The sequence below is a fragment of the Homo sapiens genome, chromosome 4 (genome assembly GCF_000001405.40).
Source record: "Homo sapiens chromosome 4, GRCh38.p14 Primary Assembly".
Classification (NCBI taxonomy): domain Eukaryota; kingdom Metazoa; phylum Chordata; class Mammalia; order Primates; family Hominidae; genus Homo; species Homo sapiens.
The window spans coordinates 47,374,713-47,387,112 of record NC_000004.12 but is presented as its reverse complement, the minus strand read 5'-3'; the positions used below and the strand labels follow the sequence as shown (position 1 = coordinate 47,387,112).

At 40.1% G+C, this 12,400-nt stretch overlaps 1 protein-coding gene across 3 annotated transcripts in view, besides 1 other annotated feature; it reads right to left on the bottom strand.

Annotated features, from left to right (window-relative positions):
- GABRB1 (gamma-aminobutyric acid type A receptor subunit beta1) overlaps nt 1-12,400 on the bottom strand; it is a 432,801-nt gene that overhangs the window by 39,335 nt on the left and 381,066 nt on the right. The window lies entirely within an intron of this gene.
- Nucleotides 8,686-9,193: an enhancer, noted in NCBI's record as "H3K27ac-H3K4me1 hESC enhancer chr4:47379937-47380444 (GRCh37/hg19 assembly coordinates)". NCBI's record gives its function as "activates a minimal SCP1, AML or CMV promoter by ChIP-STARR-seq in primed H9 embryonic stem cells {active_cell/tissue: H9 hESC(primed)}" and the evidence as "EXISTENCE:reporter gene assay evidence [ECO:0000049][PMID:30033119]".

Sequence of the window (12,400 nt, the reverse complement as noted above, 5' to 3'; positions counted from 1 at the left end):
CCTTTTATCATTATTCCCTTGATTGAGACAAATGTGGACTGGCAGAGACAAAGACAGAGCCCTGTAAGATTTCCCTGGTAATATTCCTGTAGGATGAATCAGGTCTTTAATCAGCACTTTGTGGGGTGACACCATCATTTATCCATTTAATATTTTCCTAATTGTTTAGCCTTTCGTCTATATCTCTATGTTTCTCATATTTTTCTTGATTGATTTTGCAGCCTATCAGATAAGAAAGTAAGGTCTGTTAGACTTATTTTTAGAAACATCAAGCTGCTTCCATAGATTACTGATTCTCCTTTTACAGAATGTGGGGTTACTATATTGCCCAGAATGCTTCAATTTCATCAGCTTAAGTGTCTGTTGAATTTTTTTTTCCTTCCTTCTTGGACAATGGAATGATGTATTTCATTCTATAAACACAAATAGCCATGTGGTGTACTAATGTCTGTAGGCTCATGATAATATCCTCCCACTCACAAGGTCTGCTTTCCTTTATACATGCTAATGGAGCTATATTGCATTAATTTATGTAGGTACATATGTTTTAGGTACATTGCTAGCCAAAGATCACAGTGACGGTTACTCAATGGCCCCAATACACAGTGAAGTAAAGGATAATCACACCTGCAAATGCTAAAAATCTTATTGTCTGTATTGATGTGCTTGTTATCAATAAAATCTCAAAACAAACAGCTTGTAGCCTCTACATTTTATTTGTCTTCATAGTCAAAGGGGAGAATATTTTATGTCTCAGAAAAAAATCCTTAGTCATCTATTTCTGTGGCATAATAAATATATATGTGATTTTGTCCCTCATTCCTGACACAGAGCTCTTAAATATCTTGGAATTTCTTGGGTGACAGCAGCATCTCTCATTTTAATGCAGTGATTCTGGTGAGCATCTAGATGGCTTCAGGATGGGGGCTGGTTGTCAAAAAGACCATACCCAGATTAGAAGCCTGAAACTTTCACAGTCCCCACCTCAACCTCCAGAGAGCAGAGAAAAGCTGTAGATTGAGTTAATAATCCATCATGCCTATGTGATGAAACTTCCATAAAACCCACTAATGTTCAAAGACCTTCCAGGCTGGTGAACACATCAAGGTGCTGGGAGGGTGGCATGCCTGGAGAGGGCATGAAAGCTTTGCACCCCCACAACTCCCTGCCATTCTTTGCCCTATGTGTCTCTTTCATCTGGCTGCTCCTGAGTTGTATAAACCAGTAGTAGTAAGTAGACTGTTTTCCTGAGTTCTGTGAGACATTCCGGCAAATTGTCAAACCTAGAGGGAGGTTTGTGGGAGCCCCTGATTTGAAGCTAAGTAGGACAGAGTTGTGGGTAACCCGGGAACCCAATGCTTGTGAATGGCATCAGAAGTGAATGCAGTCTTCTGGGACCGAGGCATTAAACCTGTGGAGTCTGACTCTGGAGTCTAACTCTTGAGTGTTAGAATCAGAATTGAATTGTAAGAGATCCACTTGGTGTCCAGAGAGTAGGAGAATTGGTTGGTGTGAGGCAAACCCAAACATTTGGTGTCAGAAATGTTGTGAGTAAAAGCAGTTCAGAGTTTTCAATTTATTTTAATAATCACAGAGTAGATTTCTCTTAGATACCTGTGGTCAAATCTTTTACAGTCTTGAAATCCTGTTGCATCGTCTATACATGTAATAAACATCTCAATTCTCGGCACCTCCCTTCTTAAAATAATCTCAGGTGAGAAATGAAAATAAATTGTGACTGTTTACTCTTGTTCTTAATTTCCACTGAGATCTGGGTACAACCTTCTCAAAAAGATGAGTTTCACAGTACTGTAACCAAATAAAACATGTACTCCTTGCAAAGTTTGTGAGAAATCTCTTTCAAAATTCAGACAACCTTGACTTATTATTGTTATCATGGAATAGAGAGGATCTTGCTGTTCAACTAGTCTCAGATGAGGTCATGGCATTATTATGATAGGATGTTGCCTCTGCCAGTAATTTCTGCTCTGGTTAAAAAGGAAGATTGAAACCTCTTTCCACTTTGAAACATTTGTTTGGTTGTAGGCAAAGTCTTTCGTGTTAATATTCTCCGGAAAGTGTAATGACAGCGTTCACTAGGACAAATGAAAAGGAATTAACCCCATGTGCAAAGAAGCTAAACTAGTGTGTCAGTATCATAATGTTTTTAAAGATTGTTTTCAAATTGAGTGTTAAGAATGCCTAATCTATTTGGCATCCTTAAAGATGTGCATCATTGCTTTATTTTAAAAAATAAAAAACAAAATCAGGCCTAGTGTAGAAAAGGGAGTCACCTCTGATTTTGACAGGCACTTAGTGTGTCAAATATGCCTTTATTTTCTGAAGTGTAAACTACCTTTAAGGATAATAAGATCATGGACAAGTAAAATAGAAACAGAGGCACTTATCTAGCTAACTTAAATGTACTACTACTTTAACCTTACTGCACTAACAGTGTTATTCTTGGCCTGAAACCCCAGATTTGATAGTTTGGATAACAGTCTTATTTACCTAATTTAATTTCTAAGACCACCTTATATCCTCAATGTGGGAAACTATTCAGAATATCTCTATGGTATTTTTGGTTTGAAGAGTCATGTGTATCCTGATTTTATTGGTTATGAACCCACCCTTGAGTGGTTACTGAGTTTTGTTTTGTTTTATTTAAATTCACCTTCTTTCCTTTTTTTTTTTTTATTTTGGTGTGGGGGTCACTTTTCACTGAGAAATTCTGATGAGAAATAGTGATTTGTCAATAAAGCACATTTTTGGAAAATCCATTAAAATCTAAAAAAAATCCTCAACCTGCCAAAATCAGTGATGGCAAAATGTTTATGGTATGTTGTTAAGAGAAAAATATAATAAAAATGTATGTGTGTGTGTACATATAACAAAGATTATATATGGAAAGAGTTAATAGTGGTTATCTATGAATGATAATATTATGGATGATTTTTTCTTTCAAAAATTTTACGTGGTGAATATGTAATCATTTAAAAAATAAAACCTGATACGTTATTTTTACGTTCTAGAAATTGCCTGTTTGGGAAAAATAAACATCAAAGTTATTTAAATATCCTGTAGAGGGCACTCAAGATCTTCCAGATTCATAGGCAGCGACATGATACTGTGAAGATTTTATTCCTTTAGTTACAGGAGTTTTAGGTTTTCATGATGATTTTAGTTTTGGATCACTGATTCTCACAAGGTTTTATTTTAAAATTCATTTATGTTAAGTGACACTAGAACAATTATGATTAATAGACCTTGTCACATATTCAGATCTTTAGCTAGAAATATATCTGAATATATGCAACTCTAGTTGATTACTAAAGTAACTATAAAAAATGACCTGTTTGGTATATTTAATGCTTAAGTTATAATACTTTCACTAACATTTTGAGGAGTATGGTAGCTCATATGCCCGCTATTTTAGCTATGCATATTAATGAACAAAAATCTATGTGCCATAAATGATATGAACCCATTCTTCACATCTCTCAGTTATGATTTTACAACTGGAAGCAATAAGATGCATTGAATTAAAAATTACTAATATATCAGATCAGAATTTAATTTTCATTTTTATTAACTTATTTGCCTAGTCCCTGATTTTTTTTTTAGGTATAATCTATCATTTTAGTCTCATATCCCTTATTCACTCACTCTCAGATGATACTTATTGAGAGCTGCTACCCAATTCAATTTTTAAATTGGATGCCTTTCTCATCTGTGGATGCAAAGTTGTGGTCCCTGACCTGAGTTTTCACAGAGGTATTGCACACAACCTCCAATAATCATATTCTACCAAGCTCTTGTGTCTATAGAAAATAGTGGATTTTCTTTCCTAGAAAAATAGCTTTTCTCTGGCAATTCTCAGCTGTCTTCAAATATGGCATGGTTTTTGGATCCTCTCTAGAATCAGGTTGGATAGCCTTAGCAACTAGGAGGCTATGTGCTTTTGAGATTCACAAACTGTCATGCTTTCTTGTATAATTTCTTGGCTTTTGAAATCCATGTGAATAGAATGTTGTAAAGCTGACAGTTCACAGTTGTTTGTATCTATAGCTTATCTGCACTCATTCCCAAGTGCTAGATTGGTGTCACAGAGGTTATTGTAGTAGGCATGTTGGGCACATTAATGTCTGTGTTTTAAAAATTGCATTGTGTCTGGGCATGAAGGAAAAGAACTGATTCGATTATTATTGGTTTTGCTAGAATTGATTTTTTACTCCATGTAATTTGGCAGTTACATTGATGAAATACGTGGCTAGCTGCCAATTTTGTTTATGTTGAAGGCTTTATTTCTGATGTCCATGAAATAGGAAGTCCTGCAAATATGAATTGGTCTTTAGAGCTGCCTGGGATGGAACAGTTTGGGAATAGCAGTTAGGAAAGGGCAATGCTCTGTACTTATTGCTCAATCTCAGGCTTGGGAAGAAAAGCAGTGATGATACTTTTCACTTTTTCAGATGGAGAAAATGGAAGTACAGAGTTCCATGACCTGATTGGGAAGGCTGAATGCTTCCAAGTTTCTCTCTGTGGAAATGGGGCCAATAATCTGTGCTACCTGACTTACAGGAAAGATAAAAGAGGTTATTTTGCAAAGTGATAGCTACAGAGTGCTTCTTAGAAGCAATCCATCATCAAAACGCTTAGAAGAATGCTTCCAAGTACATAGGCATCACATGTTGTGTCAGGGTGGGTCTACAACAGTGATTCTCAACCTCAGGTGATTTCCCCTGCCAGAGACATTTGGCAATGTCTATTTTTGGTTGTGAAAGGAGTGCTACTGGTACTTAGTAGGTAGAGGCCTGGGATGCTGCTAAACTTCCCACAAAGAACAGTACAGTGGCCTAGAAAAAAGAATTATTCCACCCAACATGTCAATATTGCTGATGTTGAAAAACCCTGGCCTATAGCTATGAGATGCTGTGTTTGGTAGAATGGCTCATGTTAAAACCATTTGTTTTGGTGATGTAACATGTGGTGCATAATTATACCTAGATTCTATTCTATTAGGATAGAAGATTTAAGAAGGGAAGATGCAAAATCGTTTTGTAATTCAGTCACAATAGAATTTCTTCACTATAATCCAAGCACCTTATCCCTACCCCCAGCCTAGACAATAAAAATGTGGTCACACACTACTTGGAGGGGGGAGGATACAGGGGAAATTCGCATCTGACAATCTTTGTAATTTTTTGCAAATTCTTTGCTCTTTGGTTTAGAAACTGTTGGCGAGAAAGTAAGATAGAAGCATGTTTACACATACAAACTTCCTAAATAATTCTCTTCACCCATAAGTTCCCCAGCACATACACTAGTTAAAGGCACTTCAGGGCAGGGAAGGGGGGAAAGAGAAATAGACAGGAAAGAAAAAGTCAGATGTGAATTTAGGAAGGCCTGTGTCTGTCTCTGACCCTTCAAGCTGGGTTCTAGGGTAGGAATATGAGGTTAGACAGCCTCTTCCAAGTTCTGAGACATGAGTAGAAGCAAGCCTTGTAGGGAAGGCTGTTCATTCCACTGTTTGGGAGAATGGACAGGATGCTCTGTTAAGCCTGTGGAGTGTAAGAGATAATTTTGTCTGAGTTTATTAAACTAAGGGAGGCTTTCCGAGGAATCCTGATTATGAACACGCACGGGGAGAGAACCAGTGTTCCTGAAAGAGATCTCAGAGTCATCCCATTGGAAGATGCAGCATGGATGGTTCCTGCCAGGGATCAGACAAAGACCAGTTAAGTCTTGAGCACATCACTGGTGCAGAGAGTTGAGTGGGAGCTGAGTTGACACCCACAAAATGCCCAGTCACCAGTGGAGTGAGGACCTGATCCTGCTTGTGGTGAGCCCCAGACAGAAGTTACAGCTGAAGTTAGAGGCTGGCCCAGGACTCAGGAGACTCAGCATGATAGGTAGAAACTCTCTTCCTTAGCTCCCAAGGGTGAGGCTTCTGTAGTCACCTCCAGAGCTTACAATAGACTTCAGGGGTAGGTGTGGCACAACGGGGAGACAGTGCACAAGGACTAGGGCACATTTCCCTGCTCTCCTGGTGGCAATTACCCCTGTGCTATCTGAGCCCTCTATCAATGCCATGGGAAAGAACAGGAGGAAACATAAACCATCCTGGTGTTACTGTATTTACAATCTGAAGTGTCTGAAAAATTGCTGAATCGAGGAAGTATATGGCCATTATCAGACTGAACCATAGAGTCTAAAATAAAATCATAAAAACCAAAGAATGAATTTTCATATATCTTAGTTTGTAGACTTTGAAATTCTTACCCATTTTATCTTTATCTATAGAAAAAAGTACAGAGATTATGAAGTCCAGTGCCTCATTCCCAATCTTCATTGAATAACTAGTGTGCCTATATAAGCAAAAACCATAATAGAATTCTATCAAGGAGATGTACAGTTAAATTCCCATGAAACAATATATCTAGGGTTTTAAGAGGATGCTGAAGTACTCTTTTTCTTCAAAGAATTTCCATTTTTATCTTTTCAGTTGAATAGACGGATGATCAATTTCCAGAAGTTCATGTTAGTAAAACATGGATTTTTTAATAAAATTGTACTAGAAAAATTCTTTATCACCCACATCCCATAGTGCTAATTAAAGGACTCTGAGCATGAAGATGGGGCTTATCCCTTATCTAGATTGCTTTTGGACTAGCCACTTCTGGCTACTGATTTTCATTTCAAAAGGAAGACGTTGGCTAAGTTTCTTTTCTACAGCTTAGAGCAGTCAGTGCTCCTGGGAATTCTTTGATAAATTTCATATAAATATTTATCACTGAAAGTCCGCTGTGTGTCTACTTCTTCCCTGTCGAAGATTATCTTTTACTAAAGTTATTACTTGGCAGGCAACTGTTTGTTGATACTTGGTTATATGCTCCATAAAATAAACCTTTAATTCTGAGGCAAGTAATATGCATTATAACAAGCAATTCCAGAGAAATTATTATATTAAGAATATATACAACAAATTATAATTCTGCTCCGGAATAAAACCTGGAAATAAATACTAGTGATTAAATAACACCCTATATCAAAAGCATCCATGTTCCCTTGTGATCATAATTATAGTTGCCATTGATTTAGTGTCTTTAATGGGTCAGGTATAGAACTGGGCCTTTTACGTACATGACCATATCATTCAAACCTTACAGCAAACATTAGGGAAGAAATTATTATCTCCATTCTAGTGATTAGGGAACTGAGGCTTAGGAATTTTAAATGACATGGTCACAAGCCTTGTTAGGGCAGTATTAGTCTGTTTCCAAAATCTTTCTTCTTCACTCCACTGCCTAGTTTCATACTAATTATTTCATATTACTAATTCATACTTTTAGTTTCAGACTATAGAAAAAAATTACCCTATACCATATTAGGTTGAATCATATGAAAGTGCTGATATATTTGACCCTTCCTGGATGTAAAAGAACAACCTCATATGGTTAAACATACTACAGTACAGCATGTTTAGCTATAGTATAGTACACAGATGGTTTTCAATTTATAATGAGTTTGTGTCCCAATAAACCAATCATAAATTGAAAATATCATAGTAAAAAATGCACTTAATACACCTAACCTACCAAACAGCATAGCTTAGTTTAGCCTACTTTAAATGTGTTCAAAAACCTTACATTAGTTCACAGTTAGGCCAACTCATTTAACAAAAAGCCTATTTTATAATGAAGTGTTGAATATCCTAGGTAATTTACTGAATACTGAACTGAAAATGAAAAACTGAATGGCTGTATTGGTACTCAAAGTATGGTTTCTACTAGATGAGTATCCCTTTTGCACTACTGTAAAGTTGAAAAATTGTATACGTCAAACTATCACCAATCAGGGACCATCTGTGGTATAGTATGTTCAGCTATAGTATAGCATAGTTGTATAGTAGAGTATAGTACAGTATAGTATAGTATACTTAGTAATATACTATGTACTATAGTATGTTCAGTATTAGGCTCAGCTCAGTCAAGATTATGAATTCAGGCACTATGGGAATTGGCAGAATAGTTTTGATCTATTGACCTATCCACATCTCACATTGCATTGTTAATCTGTTATCTTGAATATAATGAGGGATTTGAAAAGCAACACATAAGTCATTTTGAATCTATCACGCCAGAAAAAGCAGTTCTGGTGTGACGGAGAGAAAAAGACGTTGAATCAGAAATTGGATTCTGGTCTCAGCTCTACCACTTGCCATTTCTAACCCCTGAGCCTCAGCTACCTCCTCTGTGAAATTAAATCAATTATATTTCCTTCACAGAGCTGTGAAGATTAAATAATTTAATTAAAAAAAAAACTCCGGCCGGGAGCAGTGGCTCACGCCTGTAATCCTAGCACTTTGGGGAGCTGAGGTGGGTGGATCACCTGAGGTCAGGAGTTTGAGACCAGCCTGGCCAACATGGTGAAACCCCGTCTCTACTGAAAATACAAAAAATTAGCTGGGCGTGGTGGTGCATGCCTGTAGTCCTGAGAGGTGACAGCATGCCGGCAGTCCTCACAGCCCTCGCTGGCTCTCGGCGCCTCCTCTGCCTGGGCTCCCACTTTGGCAGCACTTGAGGAGCCCTTCAGCCCACCGCTGCACTGTGGGAGCCCCTTCCTGGGCTGGCTGAGGCTGGAGCCGGCTCTCTCAGCTTGCAGGGAGGTGTGGAGGGAGAGGTGTGGGCGGGAACCCGGGCTGCGCGCGGTGCTTGCGGGCCAGCACGAGTTCCGGGTGGGTGTGGGCTTGGCAAGCCCCGCACTTGGAGCGGCCGGCCGGCCCTGCCGGCGCGCCAGGCAATGAGGGGCTTAGCACCTAGGCCAGCGGCTGCGGAGGGTGTGCTGGGTCCCCCCATCAGTGCTGGCCCACTGGCGCTGCGCTCGATTTCTCGCCAGGCCTTAGCTGCCTTCCCGCGGGGCAGGGTTCGGGACCTGCAGCCCGCCATGCCTGAGCCTCCCCACGACTCCCCGCCTCTGTGGGCTCCTGTGCAGCCCAAGCCTCCCTGACAAGCGCCACCCCCTGCTCTACGGCGCCCAGTCCCATCGACCACCCAAGGGCTGAGGAGCGTGGGCGCACGGTGCCGGACTGGCAGGCAGCTCCACCTGCAGCCCCAGTGCGAGATCCACTGGATGAAGCCAGCTGGGCTCCTGAGTCTGGTGGGGACGTGGAGAACCTTTATGTCTAGCTCAGGGATTGTAAATACACCAATCGGCACTCTGTATCTAGCTCAAGGTTTGTAAACATACCAATCAGCACCCTGTGTCTACCTCAGGGTTTGTGAATGCACCAATGGACACTCTGTATCTAGCTACTCTGGTGGGGACTTGGAGAACCTTTGTGTAGACACTCTGTATCTAGCTAATCTGGTGGGGACTTGGAGAACTTTGTGTCTAGCTCAGGGATTGTAAAGGCACCAATCAGCGCCCTGTCAAAACAGACCACTAGGCTCTACCAATCAGCAGGATGTGGGTGGGGCCAGATAAGAGAATAAAAGCAGGCTGCCTGAGCCAACAGTGGCAACCCGCTTGGGTCCCCTTCCAGACTATGGAAGCTTTGTTCTTTTGCTCTTTGCAATAAATCTTGCTGCTGCTCATTCTTTGGGTCCACATTGGATTTATGAGCTGTAACACTCACATCCAAGGTCTGCAGCTTCACTCCTGAGCCACCGAGACCACGAACCCCACCAGAAGGAAGAAACTTCGAACACTTCCGAACATAAGGAACAAACTCCGGACACGACGCCTTTAAGAACTGTAACACTCACGGCGAGGGTCCACGGCTTCATTCTTGAAGTCAGTGAGACCAAGAACCCACCAATTCCGGACACAATCCCAGCTACTCAGGAGGCTGAGGCAGGAGAATCACTTGAACCCAGGAGGTGGAGGTTGCAGTGAGCGGATATTGTGCCACTGCACTCCAGCCTGGGCAACAAGAGCAAAACTCCGTCTCAAAACAAAACAAAAAAACGCACAACTCCAAACACATTCACTGCGTATCTACTATGTTCAAGCACTGTAATGAACTTTTGTTATAAACAAATCAATGAACTCTCTACCCTTTTTTTTTATCCTGAAAGAATTCATTGCTAGAGGGAGATGGATAAATAAATACAATGTGATGTGAAAAGTATTAAAATAAAGGGCTATACAAAATGTTATAGGAAGACTGAGGAGAAAAGAAACATTCATCTACTTAAGAGCAAAATCTCAAGATTGCAAAGCTCATCTGTCTTGTTTGTATTCTAATAAATCCTTACTATTAATAAATATTGGTTGAATAAATACATGACTCACTGGGGTTGAGGAAGAAGGCTGGAAGTAGAACATTACTGTCACTGCCTCTTCCATTTCCTTCCATTTCCTTTCACTGCTCAAATCCTGTCAGCCTAGCTTGTGCCTCTACTCCTCCCAAGAACTTCTTCCTGCTGAGATCATCTATGGCTTCTTTTTTGTTTTTTGTTTTTAAGACGGAGTCTCGCTCAGTCGCCCAGGCTGGAGTGCAGTGGTGCGGTCTCGGCTCACTGCAAGCTCCGCCTCCCGGGTTCACGCCATTCTCCTGCCTCAGCCCCCCAAGTAGCTGGGACTACAGGCGGCCGCCACTAGGCCCGGCTAATTTTTTTGTATTTTTAGTAGAGACGGGGTTTCACCGTGTTAGCCAGGATGGTCTCGATCTCCTGATCTCGTGATCCGCCCGTCTCGACCTCCCAAAGTGCTGGGATTACAGGCGTGAGCCACTGCGCCCGGCCCATCTATGGCTTCTTAACCGCCAGATCCTCTGGGCCCTTTTTGGCCTTTATCTCACAGGATCTCTTATTTGTGTTTGTTGTTGCTGATCATATTCTCTCAGAAAGGCTCACCTCCTTTCACTGTTTTTGAAATAAAATTTCTGGGTTCTATCCTTATCTTTCTCTGACAGTCTCCTGTCCTCTTCTTGGGGTTTTCAATCAAACCCAAAACTCCAATGTTCCTTTGGGAACATTTTAGTCTTCTTGGATAGTATTTCCACTCTTGGTTTAATGACTGAGGATGATTCCTAAGTTTTGGTTCCAGGACAGAATTTCTGCTTTGAGATTCAAACTTAACATGTTCAACAATCTACCTGTTATCTTCAAATGAAAATTCCTTTGGCACATAAAAAATACAAATGTTCAGAATGGAAGTCATCATCTTCTCCTCCAAACATTCTGTGCCTCTTCTGGTACCCTCCTGCTCCCAGCTCATGGATCTATCATCCGCCCAGTCACCTTTGGGAGTTATCCTTGATTCTTTCTTCTGCACATACTGCCGAAATATTATCAATATTTGCTTTTCCTCCCCTTCCTAGACACATAGAGGATAATGGGAGACCCTTTGCAATTAGGCAGGTTATGTGACTCATTCTGGTCAGTAGGCTGTAACCAAAAGTAACAAGTGTTATTTCAGACCAAAGCCAGGATCTGAATCTCCATGCTCTTTTCCCTTGTAATGACTCAAGAAGCTCAATTTGCCAGATGGTGCTGCTATAAGATGATAGAATCTCCATCATCTGGATCGTTGAGTGATTCTGTGGAGCAGAACGCATCTCCCCACCAACAAATGATAGACATTTAGTGTAAACAGGACTGGAGCTTTTATTGGGGTAAGTCATTAAAGTTAGGGTATGTGTTTGTGACTGCAGCATGACCTAGCTCTCCCACTGATAACACTGACCTCATCTAACACATAAAAACATCTTTCAAATTTCCCTGTTTTCTGTCTCTATTACTTCATTTTTATTCATGATTGTTTTCCTGGATTGCTTCCACAACTTCGTAACTGGATTCGCTAACTACTCAAATTTTGGTTCTTTCAAATCTGTCTTCTTCACATCTATTAGAGTGTTTAATTTAAAATACAAATATGACAATGTCACTCCCAGCTTGAAATCTTTTAATGATCCTTCTTTACCTATAACAGTAATTTTTAAACTTTGTTCTCTGGAACAGTTCATTGATATTCTGGAAAAAGAAATCCCTAAAAGACTAATAATGCCCCTAGGTTCAAGAGGATTATGCAATAATGCACACCATTGTGGAGGTCTATAAATGCACATCGCTAAAATATTAAAATATCCATGTGGTAAAAATTAGTATGACTTGCTTTAAATTTTTCTTTCCCCAATTTTTTGGATCCTTAACCATTTTTGGAAGAATGCTTCTTAGTATTGGATATCAGAATAGTGTCTAAGCTCTTTTCCTGGACTGCAAGGCCCTTTATGATCACCCTCTGTCTATCCATCCCTTTGGCTTCTTTTCCTACCATGGTTTACTTAACAATTTATGTTTCAACACATTAAATGTGTACAGATCTTGCATACACTCTGTGGGGAAAAAAAAACTTGCCTTCAGCAGTGCTATTTACTCCAACTGGAATGCCATGA